General features: G+C 39.6%; 2 protein-coding genes across 16 annotated transcripts in view, besides 5 other annotated features; one reads left to right on the top strand and one right to left on the bottom strand.

The window, feature by feature from the left end:
• NCAPG (non-SMC condensin I complex subunit G) overlaps positions 1-1,166 on the bottom strand; it is a 33,887-nt gene extending 32,721 nt beyond the window's left edge. For all 3 annotated transcript variants that reach the window (NR_073124.2, XM_017008543.3, NM_022346.5), the window contains exon 1: positions 957-1,166. Coding sequence is in view for 2 of the 3 variants with exons in the window: in XM_017008543.3 (XP_016864032.1) it covers positions 957-1,067 (111 nt within the window). In the remaining variant the exon portion in view is untranslated. The remainder of the gene's footprint in view (positions 1-956) is intronic.
• Positions 695-1,207: an enhancer, noted in NCBI's record as "H3K27ac hESC enhancer chr4:17812561-17813073 (GRCh37/hg19 assembly coordinates)". NCBI's record gives its function as "activates a minimal SCP1, AML or CMV promoter by ChIP-STARR-seq in naive and primed H9 embryonic stem cells {active_cell/tissue: H9 hESC(naive and primed)}" and the evidence as "EXISTENCE:reporter gene assay evidence [ECO:0000049][PMID:30033119]".
• Positions 1,208-1,719: an enhancer, noted in NCBI's record as "H3K27ac hESC enhancer chr4:17812049-17812560 (GRCh37/hg19 assembly coordinates)". NCBI's record gives its function as "activates a minimal SCP1, AML or CMV promoter by ChIP-STARR-seq in naive H9 embryonic stem cells {active_cell/tissue: H9 hESC(naive)}" and the evidence as "EXISTENCE:reporter gene assay evidence [ECO:0000049][PMID:30033119]".
• On the top strand, positions 1,388-18,699 carry DCAF16 (DDB1 and CUL4 associated factor 16). 13 transcript variants are annotated; one of them, NR_144310.2, is made up of 4 exons: positions 1,388-1,698; positions 6,920-7,038; positions 7,389-7,741; positions 17,093-18,699. NR_144310.2 is itself a non-coding variant. In NM_001345880.2 (4 exons), the coding sequence occupies exon 4, from the start codon at positions 8,004-8,006 to the stop codon at positions 8,652-8,654; it is 651 nt and encodes a 216-aa protein (NP_001332809.1). In that variant the 5' UTR covers positions 1,388-1,698; positions 2,453-2,608; positions 6,920-7,038; positions 7,374-8,003; the 3' UTR covers positions 8,655-11,490. The 13 variants fall into 13 exon arrangements, 9 of the variants coding, with proteins under 9 accessions (NP_001332809.1, XP_047271816.1, NP_001332814.1 ...); NR_144301.2 differs by having other exon boundaries at positions 7,374-7,741; NM_001345880.2 differs by lacking the exon at positions 17,093-18,699 and adding an exon at positions 2,453-2,608 and having other exon boundaries at positions 7,374-11,490.
• Positions 1,481-1,640: an enhancer, noted in NCBI's record as "active region_21356". NCBI's record gives its function as "activates an Ori minimal core promoter by ATAC-STARR-seq in GM12878 lymphoblastoid cells {active_cell/tissue: GM12878}" and the evidence as "EXISTENCE:reporter gene assay evidence [ECO:0000049][PMID:35858748]".
• Positions 1,761-1,850: an enhancer, noted in NCBI's record as "active region_21355". NCBI's record gives its function as "activates an Ori minimal core promoter by ATAC-STARR-seq in GM12878 lymphoblastoid cells {active_cell/tissue: GM12878}" and the evidence as "EXISTENCE:reporter gene assay evidence [ECO:0000049][PMID:35858748]".
• Positions 3,470-3,619: an enhancer, noted in NCBI's record as "active region_21354". NCBI's record gives its function as "activates an Ori minimal core promoter by ATAC-STARR-seq in GM12878 lymphoblastoid cells {active_cell/tissue: GM12878}" and the evidence as "EXISTENCE:reporter gene assay evidence [ECO:0000049][PMID:35858748]".
• Positions 18,700-18,905: the final 206 nt, after the last annotated feature.

Genomic DNA, 18,905 nt, shown 5'->3' with positions numbered 1-18,905 from the left:
AAAGCACTAGCCATAATAATGCAGACAAATTAAAATATTTATTTAGTAAACTCTTAATTATCCAAACCAGCCAAAGGGCAATCAATTTGCATGAATTTCTCTCCAGGCTATAATGGGAGTACACAAGCTTGACTTTTGACAGTGAAAAGATTCCTTTGATATATTTTTTTCAATATCTTTGATTCTCAATAAGCCTTTAGTACCAGTACGTTACAAATACGCTTCTTCAACAACCCAAAATCAATACTGGCTTTTATATTTCTCATATTCAGGCCTTCCTATCACCAGCAGTTTCTTTATGAGATAACTTGCACATCCTATCTCATATCCTCAAAGCCCTGTGATGTTTACTCACAATTTTTCTTGGACCTCAAGATAATTCATCTTCCCCAAATTAATTGTTCTATTCTTCTCAAGGTTCCACTCAAAACAAACAAATAGTATGTACATAAATAAGAATGGCCAGGCCCTAAAAATAATTTGGTATTTGGTGATTGGATTCAACGTAACCGTAGGACAAGGGTAGAATCATTTGATGTTCGGCGGGGAGCGATGACCCCAGGGGCAACGACCACTGAACCCCCGCATTCAGGATCCACTCTGCGGTTCAATATTTGATGTCTGATCGCCTCGGTGGTCGTAAATGTTTCTCTCCACGTTCACGATCGGACTAAGGAATAACGGTCCACGCCGCCCAGAAGCTGGGGGTGTCGGCTCAGAAAAGCCAAGGCGGGGCCCGTGTGAACGACGCCCAGGCTTCGGAGGCTTTCTGGCCTGGGCCCAGGCGACCTCGGGTAAGTCCCTGACTTCTCCGAACCTCAGATCCCTATGAAGTGAGTCGCGAAGGTGAACAAGGCTGGAGTCACGGTGCGCCGAGCCCGAGGGCCACGGAGGGCCCCTGAGGGAGGGTGGGCCGGGGCGGGCGAGAGGCGGCGGCCGGGGCCGGGAGCGCTTACCGTGCGGTAGGTGCGGCTCAGCGCCACCACCAGCTTCGCCTGGTTCTGGTGCGGCTGCTGCGCCAGCCGAAAGGCCTCCTTAATCGACAGCAGCCTCCTTTCCGCTCCCATGGCTCTGGAACCCTGCCGGGACGAGTCCTGCCCGCGCTCGGCTACAGCCTGCCAGCCCGCCAACCCAGAGGCAGCGCTCTCCGAGTAGTCTTCTATGACAGCCCCAGGGAGTATTTACCGCTCGAACGTTCAAATAATTCCCGCGAGAGGGGGAAATCCCGCGAGACTGCCGTAAGCGCTTTGGGAGAAGAGAGCGGGAAGCGATGGGTCCACCCACCTCGCACCCCGCGCTTTGGGCGCATGCGTCTAGGTTCAACCTTGTCCAGCCGTTTTCACGGAGGGAAGTGGCGTTTCTAAGGGGGAGGGGCCTTGACTCGGCCGGAAGTAGCGTCGGCGCGGGAGCTGAGCGGAGTGGCCTTGCCACCGGAGGGGAAGGGCTGCTGGCGTTAGGCCTGGCTGGGTCGTGCGGCTGAGCGTGAGGCTAGAAAGAAAAAGCGATCCTCCAAGAGTGAGAACGGGAGATCTGCCGAGGATAACAACCTCCCTTGTGGCCGAAGGGCGGGGGATCCCCACACGAGGGCTCCGCTTCGAGAGACGGCGACAAAGGAAAGTTCGTAGCGCGTTCCGGAGGCCCGGCCACCTCTGAGAAGGGAGACGACGCTGCTGGGTCCGCTGAGCGGGGCGACCCGAGGTTAGTGGAGACGGATGCTGTCTTTTGAAGGCCTTAGTCCCTGCCCTGGTGAAGCCGACTGCGAGGTTCCACAGGGCGTGCAGGCAGTCCGGGGATCGTTGCGAAGGGGGGTGCGGGCTAACTTAGCTGCTGCCGTTTCTAGATGTGCAGCTGTGTAGGCCCTGTTTACAAGTGTGCATAAGGACAGTGTATTAAGGGAGAACTCAAGAGAATGGAAAGGTCTTTCGGGTAGTGGTTAAAATAAAGAAGAGTAGGAACTAGGTTTTTAAATTTTAAATGAAATTATATCAGACAGAACTTCTGTTGGATCTCAGGATGCACCATCCAAAAATAGGACTGTAGGAGACCAAAATATGCCACCCTACAATATACTTCTAGAGTATATTTTGAGCTGGTATTCTGATAAAATGCAGACACAGGAGTCGCTCTGAAAATCTGTCCTGTTGTAAAAGAAATTGACATCTACAGAGGAAATATACATCAGTAAAGGATCTGTATCAGAAAGAGGGCAGCTCTGCGATAATTTTTGTTACCTGGGAGATCTTATCTGCATACCAAGACAACTTTTATTCACCGTATATTTCCTCCCCTCACCTTTCCACAACTTTGTGGCCACCATCCCCCAGAAAGCCGCAAGCCCCCATTTCTTGAGTAGCGTAGGATGCTGTATAATATTCAATCATCTGACCATGGTGGGACTCCTCTGCGTATGTAATTAAGTACGGGTTTTTTTTCTTGTTAATGTCTATGTCAGGTTAATTTGTAACCCAGCCAAAGAACCTAGGAGGATGGAGGGAAGCCGTTTTTCCCTCTCCTACACCTCAGTAACCTACTGCCAGCTGAAGAAATAGAACATTACTAAAGCCACCTGTACATCTTTCTCCTTTTGAATTACCTGCCCTCCGAAGAAGTAATGGATTTTCTGAATTTACTGTTAACTTTTACCATGCAGCTTTCTATATCTTAATGACATATTTTAATATATTAATGACATGAATAAATCCCTGAATGAGGATATTGTACTATTTTGCATGTTTTAACCGTTAAATGAATAATTATATGTGCATCTGGCTTTTTTCAATCAATATTGCTGTGGTTCATATTGATATGTTCATAATAGTAACTTGCACTTAATTAACCTTTATTATGTGCCAGACACCATGCTAAGCACTTTACTTCGTTTACTGCTCACAAACCCTGTAGGATAACTTTGATCTTCTTTTAAGATGAGGAAACTACGGCACAGACAGGTTGCTATAGTACTCCATTGTATTAATATGCCATACCTTATCCATTCTCCTGCTTAATTCCTCAAACTTTGTAGATATTCAGCTGCTAGTTAAGAATGTGGTAACATTTGTGTTGCCCATAATTTTGCTTTGTGACGTTTCTAATATATATTTTTTTATTTTTATTTTGAGACAGAGTCTTGCTCTGTCGCCCAGGCTGGAGTGCAATGGCGCGATCTCGGCTCACTGCAACCTCTGCCTCCCGGGTTGAAGCGATTCTCCCGCCTCAGTCTCCCAAGTAGCTGGGTTACAGGCATGCACCACCACACCTGGCTAATCTTTTGTATTCTTAATAGAGACGGGGTTTCGCCATGTTGGCCAGGCTGGTCTCGAACTCCTGACCTCAGGTGATCCACCCGCCTTTGCCTCCCAAACTGTTGGGATTACAGGCGTGAGCCACCGCGCCCGGCTAGTATTTCTTTACTATATTCTATTTGGCTGTCTCACCAACAGAGACATCACACCATTTTGTCAGTTACAGAAGAATGAGACATCTGGCCGCCAGAGGTCAGCCTAACTATATTTCGGTTAGTTTTTTTTTTTGTTTTGTTTTGTTTTAATGGTTAAAGCCATGGGGGTATTGGTTCAGTATTTTTTGATATTATAATCTGAAAATATTTTTTCAAAGGTGCTAGATTAAATTTAAACAACATAGTATACTGCCTTAAAGCTTACATTTTTCCTGACTTTTGTACTGTGAAACAGAACAAAAACAATTATGGGAAAGTAAGAGCCTTTTTAAAAATTTTCTGAGTAACATAATAACTGAAGTATAGCCAATTAGTAATCTCACAGGTGCAATCTGGTTGAAGTGAAAATAGTAAAAATATTAGAGGACAGCACAATTAAAAGCCAACAGCTTCTCCTGTCTCAGTTAATAAAGACTTACGGTCCACGACAAAGAATGAATACTCTTTTTCAGATTGAACAAGGTAATAGTACTATAATCTAAACTTAGAAGTATTACATTGTTTCTTCTTAAAGTTATAAGCAGTTTCCTTTATATTGCTGTAGTAGCATCATATATGTTGATCCTGCCTTAAAAAAATTATCTCATTTGTCTTTGTCTAACATTACCAAATCACCAAGATATAACTTGGAACTGTTCTCTCCCTGGAGTAAAATAGAACATGCTTGTGGTAGTTACTTACTGCAGGCCTTTGCCATTCTCTGACTCTTTTATTTACTGAGCCACTCATATATGCCAGACACTGTGCTAGGAGTGTGTGAAAGCCAGAGAAATACTCATTAGAGGAAAATTGCTGACCTGAAGCCATACCATATGACCTTATTAGCACAACTCAGTGTATTCGATAATGAAAATGTTCACTGACTTTGATTTTGGAAATCCCCCCTACAGAGTAGCATAAACGAGACATTGATATTGTCTCTTTTCTCATTTAAAGCTATGCCTTTAAAGGCCACCCATGTTGCTGTATATACTTGGAATGTGTTTCCACATTTTACCAGTCCGCTTCTCCAGCGATAGGAACCTAGAATGCTTCTAATTCCTGTCATCACAGATGTAGCTTCAGGGTATATCTTCATACATGTTGTTCATACGGGAATTTCTTTGCTATCTATGCCCAAAAGTAGGATTGCTAGATCATGAGATGTGCAAATAGTTTGCCTAAGTAGTGCTGCCGGACTGTTCTTCCGAACAGTTACTCCACTCTGCAATCCCACCAGCAGTGCCAGTTCCAAAAAAGAACTCACTGACACTTGGTGTTATCCAGCTTTCTTATTCTACCAAACTGATAGCATAATGTGATCATATTGTTCATGCCTTGGGATTTTCTCTTCTATAATTTGGATATCTTTGTCCATTGCTCATTTCTTTATTGAAGTTGCTTTCTTAAAAATTGATTTAACTTTGTCCTTGGTATCTTTAGTTCAGTCCAGAAATGATTAATTGTGATGTGATTAAATTCATTTTTTGGTCTGGTGCTTTATGCTTTTTTGTTTAAGAAGTCTTTCCCTGGCCTCATTTCACAAAGATATTCTGTATTATATTTAACTAACTATATAGTTTTACCATCCCCATTTAGGTCTTTAATCCATCATGAATCCTCCCTTATACATGTCATTATATGTATATGTATTAAATGGTTTTACTTTTCATTTTTTTCTTAACCTTGTTCTTAATTTTTTCTTAATTCTTATTCCAATACAGTTTTACTTTTTTTCATATAATGAGCCAGTTGTACCAATAATATGTACTAAACATATCCATTCACCCTTAGTTTATGTGCCAACCTTATTTTATATTACATTCCCAAATTATATATAGCTCTGTTTCTAAGCTCTATTCTGCTCTATTGGACTATTGTCTGTTCTTATGCTAATCCTACCTTATTTTAATGTCTGTGACTTTAGTCATAGGACATACCTTGAAGAATAGGAACTCCCTTACTGTTTAAACAGTTCATTTGGCTATATGTGGAATTTTATTCTTTCTATATAAACTTTAAGGTTTGTTTATAGAGTTCCTTAAAAATTTGATTGGAATTGTATAAATTAATAGGGAGAAAGTTGATATCTTTATGATATTTGTTCCATCCAAGAGCATGGAATGTCTGTATTTTAAATTATCATCTATATTGTTTATTAGGTCTTACATATTCATGATTAGTTCCTAGGTTCTTTATAGGATTAGGTTTTTGTTGTTTGTTTTTCCTTCTGTGAAATGTCTTTATATATGGTCTAGTTAGTATTGCTGGTATAAAAGTTAGTATTGCTGGTATAAAAGTTAACAGTGCCTGAGTTGAAACACTGGCCCCGTGACTTACTAGATGAATGGCTTTGATCACGTAACTTAATCCACAGGTAAGATGGGGACAATAAAAGTACCAACTTTTAGGGTTGTTAGAAGAATTTTAAAATAGTTAACATTTGTGCAGTTACTAGAGTAGTACATGGCAAATAGTGTTATATGAGTAATTAAATTAATGAATATTCATAGGTTAATTTCAGATCAGGAACATTGTTGAACTCTAATAGTTTGTATGGTTTTTTAAATTGGATGATATCATCTGTAAGCTAATAGTTTTATCTCTTCCAATTCTTAACGTATCTTTTTCCAAAAAGAGAAAAATGTTGATTAGAACTTTCAGTACTGTGTCAGACAGTATCAGTCTCAGTCAACATGGTTATCTTTAGCTAATTTCACTTTTTGCTGTTGTTGTTGTTGTAGAGAAGAGTCTCATTCTGTCACCCAGACTGGAGTACAGTGGTGTGATCATAGCTCACCACACAGCCTCCAACTCCTGGGCTCAAGCAGTCCGCCTGCCTCAGCCTCCCAAGTAGCTAGAACTAAAGGCACACACCACCACGCCTGGCTAAATTTTTAAAATTTTTTTGTAGAGACAGGGTCTTGCCATATTGCCCAGGCTGGTCTTGAACTCCTGATCTCAAGTGATCCTCCACCCTTGGCCTCCCAAAATGCTAGGATTACAAGCATGAGCCACTGTGTCCTGCCCCTGACTTCACTTTTAAAGGAAATGTATCTCATCTTATTCAGGATAATGTTTGCTTAAAGATTTTGGTAGATAACCTTTACCAAGTTGAGAAAGTTACATTCTCTTTCTAGTTTGGTAAAAATGTTTTGTCTTTTAAATAATAAATACATGGTGGTCAGGAACTAACAAAAGTTATCCACATTCAATAAAATTCTCTCTTTTTTTCCTTTAGTTCTGGTAATTTATACTTTTTTTTAATTTGAGCTATTCTTACTTTCCTGGGATAGGCCATATTTGATAATAACATTCTTTTTAATGTACTGTTGGATTCTGTTAAGTGATATTTAGGATTTTGCAAGTGAAGTGAGCCTATACTTTTCTTGTTTGGTTCATCTCTAAGTTTGGGATTTATTTTTATTATCTTTATAAAAGTAGCTGGTCAGTTTTCATGCTTTTTTCTTTTTTGTGGAACAGCTTATATAGAATTGGTGATAGGATCACAACTTCTGAGGTCCCAGCAAGAGTCCTAACATCTAGCAGCTCTACCACCAGGACAGGCCCCCTAAAACTAATTCCAACAAGCACCTCTGAAGGTAAAAAAAAAAAAAAAAAAAACTTTTATAGCTCTCTATTTGGAGTTTGGGGCATAAGGGATCAGCTTTTGCAAAAGTAATTTTCTAGGCTAAAACTGCATACAAACTGGCCCAGTTATGTACCAACAAAGAATTAAAATGGCCCCAGACTTTGCTCCCCAATATTGTGATTGTAAGAGCTATTACCAACAGGTAAATTGGCCTAAGTCTGTGAGATAGAGAGGGAAGAGTCTGTAAGACTTCTTGCTCAGCATTTGTTCTGATTTTAGATATCTTGAAGTTAGGTAGGCAATAATGTTATCCAGTGCTTTCAGGCTTTAATATCATGTCTCTAGTCTTCTCATTCACAGGTTAAGGCTACCTTTCCAGATAATCCAACAGCTAAATCACCAGTTTCCAAGGGCATTTGCATCACCTATGGAAAGCATCGGATCCTTATACACCAGATGTTCTTGACAGCTCATCCCGTCATTCCCCCCTGCACAAAAGTTGCTATACCAGCGGACAAGCAAGACAACTACTGAGCTTCTTTTGATTGTCAAGTAGATATAATATCACTGCCAGCAAAACAGCACAAAAAGTGTCTCTTCACAGTATCACTACCAGTTGGGACTATGCTAAGTAAATCAGCTTGCCTAGATGAGGACCCCTTCTATTCTTGGGTAGCCAGGATTTGAAGGAGATACTCTGACCTGTGCCAGTGGTAAGTGACTAATACTTTTACACACTGAACTGGTCCTGGAAACTGAGATGTCTTCTTTGTAAGTGAAGAATATACAACATAATCTTGAAGAACGGCACAGTGGTATGGGCCACAAGCATACTTTATGTGTGTAACGGACTGAAAGACAAATTAATCTTGGTGAAAGGATTTTTCATCTCTTATTTCTATTTGCCAGTGTTAGTCAGTGTTCTGCTGGCTTAGATTATTACCTTTTTCTGGTTCCTTACTGTGTTTTATTCTGATGGGTCCTAGAAATCCCTCTCCTGACCACTTGTCAGAATCAGAAAGTGAGGAAGAAGAAAATATTAGTTACCTAAATGAGAGTTCTGGGGAAGAGTGGGATTCCTCTGAAGAAGAGGACTCTATGGTGCCCAACTTATCGCCTCTTGAGAGTCTTGCCTGGCAGGTTAAGTGCCTTTTAAAATATTCCACAACTTGGAAACCTTTAAATCCTAATTCCTGGTTGTATCATGCTAAACTGTTGGATCCAAGCACACCAGTCCATATACTTCGAGAGATAGGTCTAAGACTCTCCCATTGTTCCCATTGTGTCCCCAAACTGGAACCAATTCCTGAATGGCCCCCTCTGGCCTCTTGTGGAGTCCCACCTTTTCAAAAGCCTCTTACAAGTCCCAGCCGGCTCTCTAGAGATCATGCCACTCTAAATGGAGCACTGCAATTTGCCACCAAACAGCTAAGCCGAACATTGAGTAGAGCCACTCCCATACCTGAATACCTAAAACAGATCCCTAATTCATGTGTTTCTGGGTGTTGCTGTGGCTGGCTGACTAAAACAGTTAAGGAAACAACTCGTACTGAACCCATCAACACTACTTATTCTTACACTGACTTCCAAAAGGCAGTTAACAAACTCCTAACTGCATCACTGTAAAGATCTACCATTTGCTCTGATATCTCTGATGTTGCTAATTGAGAAAGTGGTACAAAGTTAGTCATTACACAGCCCACTAATGCCTTCTCAGTCAAACTCTCTTATGCCCTGGCAAGCCAATGAGGATACCCTTTGACAAACCCTGTGGATAAAATGATAATATCAAGGTCAGGCATGGTGGCTCACACCTGTAATCCCAGCACTTTGGGAGGCTGAGGCGGGTGGATCTGCTGAAGTCAGAAGTTTGAGACCAGCCTTGCCAACACAGTGAAACCCTGTCTCTACTAAAAATAAAAAAATTAGCCGGGCGCAGCAGTGCACGCCTGTAATCCCTGCTACTCGGGAGGCTGAAACAGGAGAATCACTTGAACCCAGGAGACGGAGGTTGCGGTGAGTTGAGATTATGCCACTGTACTCCAGCCTGGGTGACAGAGCGAGACTCAGTCTCAAAAAAAAAAAAGGAGAATTAGTTAAGGGGACCATATTACAAAAGATAGTTGAATATTCTTCACACTCACTTCTCACCCTCCCCACCCCAATTTACTCTGCCTTTCTGAATGGCTTTAATGAGATACCTGATTATTAATGAAGAAAAGTAGACCACCACCCCTTTTGTTATCCAGACTTTAGAACAGCCATTGTTGAAAGCAAGAAGTTAGCTACCCACAATAATACCTTTCTGAGCATACTCTTCTCTAACATACATTTCTGTGGAAGTAGTTGAATTAAATTGAGTAACTACACAAAGGAAAATGGCAGGGCTATGAATTTCTTTCCCAGCTTTTATATAGATGTGCCTACATATGACACTCTTTAGGGTTCCTTTTATTTTTTCTTTTTTTTTTTTTTTGAGGTAGTTGAATTAAACTGGGTAACTACACAAAGGAAAATGGCAGGGATATGAATTTCTTTCCCAGCTTTTATATAGATGTGCCTGCATATGACACTCTTTAGAGTTCCTTTCACTTTTTCTTTTTTTTGGAAGGGGGCGGGGAGGCAGGAGGAGTGCAGTTTTAAGCCTAGCCTATACTACTACAAACTTATTATGGTACTTAAAATTACAGCATGAACGTTCTATATCGGAGTCTCCCACCAGGCTGTCTCTGACTAAATCAGCCTATAAGATCATCCCTTGGGATTAAACAAACACCTGTTCTGTAGGGAATGTGTTTCCTGAATCTTGGTACTCAGACTTTTGTCAAGAGTAAATAACATTTCAAAAGATGAATGGAAAAATGATTAAGAGAGCATTTCTGCTTTCAGCATTAACTGCTAATGGATTAAAATTTTAATCTGTATAGCATTTCCTGGAGTAAAAGCTCAAGTACTTTCCACATCCATTGCAAACTTTTCAGGAACCCTTCTAATTTTTTTTTTTTTTTTTTTTTTGAGACGGAGTCTTGCTCTGTCGCCCAGGCTGGAGTGTAGTGGCATGATCTCAGCTCACTGCAAGCTCTGCCTCCCGGGTTCGTGCCATTCTCCTGCCCTGCCTCCCGAATAGCTGGGACTACAGGCGTCCACCACCACTCCTGGCTATTTTTTTGTATTTTTAGTAGAGACAGGGTTTCACCGTGTTAGCCAGGATGGTCTTGATCTCCTGACCTCGTGATCCACCTGCCTCGGCCTCCCAAAGTGCTGGGATTGAACCCTTCTAATTTTAAAGAACCTTGTTATTAGAAAATCTCAGCCTAATACAATCTGAAGTTAAGAGTTTTAGCAGCATTGTTTTTCTAAGTAGATTTAGCTATAGATTTTCTTCTGGCCAAACAAGGAAGAGTATATGCCCTTGTAAATGAGTCTTGTTTTGTTTATTTAAATAGTCAGTCAAAACGTAGAAATCAGTATACGTAAAATAAAATGCATGAGACTATTAAATCTTTTCATATACTCTACAAATAAAATGAAATCTGTGTGTGGTCCTGGTTGACTGGGCATCTAAAGGGAATCAGAAAAGAGATTGTGAAAAGTTATATATATATCCTCTTCCTTATTTTAGTTTTGCTTTTTCCTATTTTCCATAATTAAGTGCCGTTTACAAAGTGGCATCAAAAAATTGAAGCAGGCCAGGCATGGTGGCTCATGCCTGTAATCCCAACAGTTTGGGAGGCTGAGGGCAGGTGGATCACTTGAGATCAGGAGTTCGTGACCAGCCTGGCCAACATGGTGAAAGCCCATCTCTACTAAAAATATAAAAATTAGCCGGGCGTGGTGGCATGTGCCTGTAATCGCAGCTACTTGGGAGGCTAAGACAGGAGAATTGCTTGAACCTGGGAGGTGGAGGTTGCAATGAGCTGAGATCGCGCCACTGCACTCCAGCCTGGGCAACAGTGAGACACCGTCTCAAAAAAAAAAAAGGTTAGGAATCACAAATTGTGTAAATATATAGCAACTTTAAGAAGAGAGAAGAATGCTTATAACCTAGTGAATATTTCTGCTGAGCCTTAGTTGTCTTGTCTAAAGGAAAAAAGAGGGAATTGTAGAATAAAAGTATTTGTTAGTGGAAATTATTGACCTGAAACCATATCATATTGTTAGTGTAACTGAATGTATCAGAAATTGTTCCTATGTAGGTATTCTGTGAAACTGGTTTCTAAAATGTTACAGGAAACTGTTTCCTTTTTTTTTGTTTGTTTGTTTAAGTGGAGGTGGGAGGAGGTAGGGAAGAGGTCTGAATATTAAAATATGTTTATGTTCATGTGTTCATAATACGTTCCTTTTTCTCTCTGTGTGTGTATAAAAGTGCCTTGCTCATGAATGCATTTTTGCTATTCACTTCGAAAGGAAGCCTTTCCCCAGCTTGGCAGCTGAATAAACCAATAGCTTTGTACATGCTGAACAGAGTATGGTCATTTGTCCTCAACAAATGAAATAGATCCTACTTTGCTTAAGGCATATTCTACATTCACTAAGTACTGAATAGAGTTAATAGATACAGTACCTGAATCTATATAGTATGTCTGACAGGAGATGACTTGGCGTCTCTAGAGAAGAAACACACTTGAAGAAGAAAATGTCTGATATTCAGTCAAGATTCAAAGTGAGCTTATTTGTTTATGTATTTTAAGTAATTCCAGGTTGCACAAAATAACAGGTACCTAAATAAGCCTTAAGTTAACTTTTTGTGTGGCATAAACACTGGGTTTGGGAATGAATTTACTACCTTTGCACTCCCTATGTTGGCTTCTGTTAAATGCAGTCACCATAATTAAGATAAAAAGATTATTTTATCCTCTATTTATAGAAATATTTATCAAAGGAGTAAGGAAACTATTTCTAAACCAGTGGACATTAACTGTCTTTTACTTTCTCAGTGCAGATAGGCAACTTTTTTTTTTTTTTTTTTTTTGAGATGGAGTTTCGCTCTTGTTGCCCAGGCTGGAGTGCAATGGCGCAATCTCGGCTCACTGCAACCTCCACCTCCCGGGTTCAAGCAATTCTGCCTCAGCCTCCCGAGTAGCTGGAATTACAGGCATGTGCCACCACGCCCAGCTAATTTTGTATTTTTAGTAGAGATGGGGTTTCTCAATTGGTCAGGCTGGTCTCTAACTCCTGACTTCAGGTGATCCACCCACCTCAGCCTCCCAAAGTGCTGGGATTACAGGCATGAGCCACCGTGCCCAGCCATAGGCAACATTTTTATTAAAACAGTCCAGATACCTTGAGCCTCAAAGACCATAATCACGTCTTTTAATCCCATCTGCTTCCTAAGAAAAGAAAAAAATCCATACATGCATGGCAGGAGGGCATATGATAGGTCCCCTCTAGGGGATAGAAGCCCTTCCTGCTGGGTCTTCTATCACACCTGTCCATATTTTAAAAAAAAAGTCTCTGATGAAAATGTTTTGATAGTGTAAATAGCTAAAGCATTTAAAGACTTTAGAAGTCACTTGGGTTATTTTCTGATGCGTAAGTTGGCTTGCATCTGGCTTTCTACTTTTGGCTCCAGTGTTAGAGAATATGTCTTTTGGAGCAGCCTGTTAGTTTTAAATATCTCTTGTTAGAAATTTAGCCATTCATCCAATATTGCTATGGAGAAGTGCCTACTCTAGTGCAGACACTGGGAATGCAAAACTAAATAAGATTACTACACATAGGAAATTAGTTTTAAAATATATGAACCTATATGTTACCCCAAGCCATTTCTGCTGTCTAGGGTCATATTAAATAAACCTAAACCCTAATCCATATGTTGGCCCTTCACATATTGAAAATAGCTTATAGTGGAGAATCATATAAAAGAATTGAATGGAGCAGCCATCCAAGTATAATGAAGATTCATCTGGAGGGCAGACTTCAATTAAACCCCCACAACGGATACTCAGCCAAGGAAATGGAGAAAATATATAGATATTTTGTATCCAGATTTAAATTATATCTGCTAATCACAAGGTAGTGGCACAAAGATCAGGGCCAAAAGTGTTTTGCTCAGGTAGCTAGGACATATAGAACAGCCTGAGAAGTATGGATAACTTCTCAGACTTCATGAGTTAACTGTGCAAGCTGGTAACGTATCTGTCCGCCAGTGATACCCATTGGACTGAGGGAGTTACATTAGCTGGACCAACCACCAGTACTTCTATGTCAACTTGCTGTTGCTAAAAGAAAAATGTCTATGATGTGTCTCAAATAATTTTAAATACAGTTGAGTTAATGACTACATATTTGAGTCTGCTAATTCCATGCAGTTTGCCAAGCTCTTCCTTTCAATTAGCAGCCGCAGTGAGACTTAAGTTTGCAACTGAGACCAAGAAATGGAAAGGATGAGGATATACCACAGTGACCTGACACTTGCTGGCTTCCCATCTTCTGTGAGAGCTATGACCAGCTATTCTCAATGAGCTCTGGAAAATGAATGCCTGGTTTTCTTTTATTATTATTATTATTTTTTTATTTTTTTGACACAGGGTTTCGCTCTTGCCTAGGCTGGAGTGCAGGGGCATAATCTTGGCTCACCGCAGCCTCGACCTCCTGGGCTCAAGCCATCCTCCCACCTCAGCCTCATCAGTAGCTGTGGACTACAGGTGCACACCACCACACAGGCCAATTTTTGTATTTCTTTGTAGAGGCAGTTTCACTCAGGCTGGTCAGGAACTCCTGAGCTCAAGTGATCCTCCCACATCAGCCTCCCAAAGTGCTGGTGTTACACTGGTACCTGGTATAAAAAAAAAAAAAAAAAAAAAGGAAAATAACAGTGTAACAGGAAGACAGCGATAGGGTTATTTCTTCTAAACTGTGGAGTCAGTTAAAAACGTTAGCAACAGTTTCAAGTTGAATCATAAAACGAAGTTGACTGGAATTTGGGCAGTTTATTTAGGAAGATTCTGACACGTGATATGAAAATTCCTGGGATCATTAGGGGAGTTAGGCTCTATATAACAACAATCATTCAGGAGGGACTCAGGATACTGGTTAGCTTAACAAGATTAAAACTGACTTCCTAGTATACACATAAACCAAGCTAGTTTCTCAAATTAGCAACAGAAACCAGATGAAACTCCTCAAATGAGTGTTGCAAAATAAGGAGCTGGTACTATAGTTTTATTTGGGGAGAAATTGTTAAGTTTGGGTTAACTGCTCAGCCTATGCCTGATACTACCCTTCCATCTATGGTATCAGCTGTGGCACCTGACACTCCAATGTATCAGCTGATGGTTTTGGTTTACAATAAATTAATTAAGCAATGGACCAGTAGGGGCAACTTCTTTGAGAGGTACCCAAACAAGTGGAACAGCCCAAGGGCATGGCCATCTTCCATCAAAAAAGACCCTAGGTGGGCTTTCTGGTTGCACCCTGAGTAACCAGAATGGCCTGATAGACTGGCAGAGCTCTGGTGAAAGAAGGGTGCAGCCACTACCTGAAGAACTCTAATTTCTGAATCAATTGAAAGCTGGCATTAATGTTGGCCACAGACAATGCATTCCATGTAGACTTACTGCAAAGTGTGTTATATGATATTGATCCCTGTCTACCTACTTGGTACTTAAGTAGACTCCCATGGCTTGAAAGCTTTGGACCAGACCCCAGTTTCCTTCTTTGAATGCAGTTTTTCTGTGTTGTCACATCCTACTTGGGACACGTTTCTTTAAATGGGTTGGGTTGCCTGATGTAGCAAAAAGAAATACAGGACACCCGAATACATTTGAATTTCAGAAAAATAATGAAATATGGCACATATACCAGAAAAAAAGTTATGTTATTTATCTGAAATTCAAATTTAGTTTCCTGCATTTTATCTGCAACCCTATAAATATGTTAGTGGCATGGATTAAGCTTGGGTTTTAGTCTATGTAGTTGTTCCCAGGAACTGTCTTGACTCTTTCCAGTATGTGTTGTTTTCTTATGTCTAAGTAATTGACTAGTAGCCAGGAGCAGTGCTGGTGCACACCCGTAGTCCTAGCTACTCAGGAGGCTAAATTGGGAGGATTGCTTGAGCTGAGGAGTTTGAGGTTGCAGTGGGTTATGGTCATGCCACTGCACTCCAACATGGGCACCAGAGCAACCGCCCATCTCTAAAATAATAATATTTAATAATAAGAGACTGGGGGCAAGGAAGGCTCACACATAGTTGACCCAAGTTGTATTTCTTATATATTTATTTATTTATTTCTTAGAACTGTTGTTGAGTGTCAGAAGAGGAGGCCCAATTGCAGATATGAGAGTTTTTATAGGAGACACGTGGTATTTAGCTAAAATAACCACATAACCATTACAATATTTGCAAACACAAATTTTTTAAATGCTGTCTCAACAGCAGGTAGTTTGGGTTTGTGGTTTGTTGTCGTTGTGAGATGGAGACTCACCCTGTCGCCAGGCTGGAACGCAGTGGTGCGATCTCGGCTCACTGCAATCTCCACCTCCTGTGTTCAAGCAATTTCCCTGCCTTGGCCTCCTGAGTAGCTGGGACTACAGGTGCGCACCACCATGCCCAGCTAATTTTTTGTATTTTAGTAGAGATGGTTTCACCATGTTGGCCAGGATGGTCTCAATCTCCTGACCTCATGATCCACCCACCTGAGCCTCCCAAAGTGCTGGAATTACAGGCGTGAGCCACCGCACCTGGCCATCTGTGTGTGTTTTAAGCAGTTACTTTCTCACTCTTCTTTACCATGAAGGGAAAGTATATCACTCTTTAAAAACAAAAAATACTCGATAGGTAGCACAGTTATGATACCCATTCTTCATCACAGAAAAGGTTCACAAATTTGGAACACCTATCTTTGCCTTCCAGAACCCCCAAAAGACTTGAGGATTTAAAGGCACAAGGTACCCTGGAAGGTGGGAGTAATAAAGAAAGTTGAAACAAGGGGATTATTTGAACATTTATTTTTGCTCTTCTTTTGTAGGCAGGCAGCTATCTCTCTAGCAGATGACTGAAGCCTTATTGTCTGGAGAAATTAAACCAAACAGACTTAGAACTGAGGACAGGGGGAGGATGGTAATGGTAGTGATGTGCTATATGGAAGACAAAATGATTAACAGAATGTGAGTATTCTGAACATTATGAGCCTCCAGTCCACTTTTCTCCACCTGGCTACAGAATCTGGCAATGGGGCTTATACCCAGCCCTGCTCACCTGACCGAAAAAGACAAGCAGTAAAAAAACAGCTTGACCCTCGATTATTTGTTACAGTGAAACTGAGAGTCCACAAGGCCTGCTCCTTCATATACAGCTTTCAGTCACTTGGAATCACTGTACACAGATAGCCAAGGATCACTAGATATTTGAGGAAACCTTCAACATGAAAGATGAACATAAAGAAGCTGTGATATTCTCAGAAAGGAATATACTGCTTCCATCAAATAGGATCAGGATGCTATTTTAAAAAATGACCAATCCAAAAACAAAAGCTATTGGAAAAACAGGAAACCAAAAGTAAACATTCAGTAGATGTATTAGAAAATAACTTGAAGAAATTTTAAAAAGTAGAACAAAGAGATGAAAAGCAGGCAAGAACAAAAAAGAAACTTAAACCTGAATAAGATGCAACATCTAATAAATGAGTTCCAAAATGAGAGAACAGAGAAAGAAGGTGAAGAGAGAAAAAAATTAAAATAACATTTCCCGGAAATAATAAGACTTTAGTCTTCTAAATTAAAAGGGTCCACTAAGTGCCCTGTGAAATGAATTAAAAAATACCAAAGCACATTGTTAGGATATTTCAGAATGCTAGAGTTATGGAAGGACCTAAAAGCTTCCCAATAAATGTAGCGGAGAAAGTTACATAAAAAGGATACGTTTTCAAAATGGCATTTAGATTTCTTGGTAGCAACACTGGATGCGGAAAGACTATGAAAGCAAGGTCTTTAAATTTAAAAAGAAATGATTTCCAACGCAGAATTTTGTACTCAAATAATCCAATCAAGAGTGGGGCTAAAATAAAGATACCTTAAGACTTGCATGGTCTCAGAATTTTATCTCACCATCTACCTTTTCTTAGGAAGCCACTTGGAGGATGTGCTTTACCAAAATGAGGGAGTAATCTGAGAAGGCATGGGATCCTGAAACTAAAAGATGTCACAAAGGAAAACGAGGAAAGTCCCAGGATGACTACTGTGTCAAGTAAGTAGGACAGAGGTTCCAGGAAGTAGGTATCTAGGAAAACTGGGAACAAAGTATTTGAGTACAATGGAAAGTGTATAAATAAGCAGGAAATTTGAAATTTTATTTCTTAGAAAGTATGTTATTTAGTAATCAGTTTTTTAAAAATTTGACATTAAAAGTATAGGCAAATTGGAGTCTTGTCAGCTATAATTAGATTGGTCCTTACGGCATAATACTCCACAATTGCAGTAGATGCTGACTTCAATAAGATGTGCGCCACAGAAGATATTTTTAGAAAATAAAAAGTTTTTCAATTTGTTTTCGTATTTGATTTGCTTAGGGAAATCTCAATTTTGTATTTATTTACAGAAATAATGCATAGTCTATAGCAGTAATTTCAGCAAGCTTTTTGTTTAAATTTTAGCCTCTGTAGAATCAAAAGCATAAAGAATTACAGGTTGAGCATTCCTAATCCAAAAATTTGAAATCTGAAATGCTCCAAAATCCAAAACTTTTTGAGTGCCAACATGACAGCACAAATGGAGAATTTCACACCTGACCTCATGTGACAGGTCAGTCAAAACAAAGGCACACAACAGTTTATTAAAACTACTGTATAAAATTACCTTCAAGCTATGTATATATGAAACATGAATGAATTTCATGTTTAGACTTCCCATCCCAAAGATATCTCATTATGTATATGTAAATATTCCAAAATCTGAAAAAGTTAAATCTGAAGCACTTCTGTTCCCACACATTTCAGATAAGGGATACTCAACCTGTATCTACTTTTTAAAAATAATATTCTGAAATTCGATACTGTTTTTCATCTTCCATGCTATTTTTGCTATCAAGATATGGTTACATACAGTGGCTGGTCCATAATATATTCCTATATAATATTTTAGATGTTTCCTTATGAGTCATGATTCAGGGTTTTTTTCTTTGCTTTGTTTATGTTAATATTACATAGTCTGAGAGTGAATTTTTATTTACTTGCAAGTGATATGTATGCTGATAGGTTTTTCTCTCTGTCATCAAATCTATTGAGTAAACCATGCCAGGCCAATTTGTCCATCTCCTTTTTTCTAAGTAAGAAATCACAAATATACAGTAAATAGAGTGCACTAATCATAAGTGTACTTGATTTTTTTACATGTGTATACATTCGTATCAAGATCATATAAAAATGTATACACTCAGATCAAAGTATTAAAAATTTCAAATTCTCTTATGCCCTTTCCTAGTCTATACATCTCGCAGAAATAACTCTTCTTTTCTAAAGATCTGTTAGTTTTGGTTGTTCTCAGATTTCATGTGAATGGAATCATACAGTATATATTGTTTTATGCCTGGCTTCTTTCAGCAATGTACTTCTTCTTTTTTTTATTGTTATAGACTATTTGATTATATGAATATATCATAATTCATTTATCCTTTTACCTGTTGACATTTATTTCCAATTTTTTGTTATTATGAATAAAGCTATAATAAACATTCTGTGTGTATTGTTTTGGTTTGGTTTTTTGTGGATATGTGTATTCATTCCTTTGGGTATATACCTAGGCACCAAATTGCTATATCAGAGTAGTTGTGTATTTATTTTTAATAAAACTGCCAAACACTTTTTTTTTATGTAAGTTTTAGGGTACATGTGCACAATGTGCACGTTTGTTACATATGTATACATGTGCCATGTTGGTGTG

Source organism: Homo sapiens, chromosome 4, assembly GCF_000001405.40.
Source record: "Homo sapiens chromosome 4, GRCh38.p14 Primary Assembly".
Taxonomy (NCBI): domain Eukaryota; kingdom Metazoa; phylum Chordata; class Mammalia; order Primates; family Hominidae; genus Homo; species Homo sapiens.
This window is presented reverse-complemented; position numbering and strand designations above follow the sequence as displayed.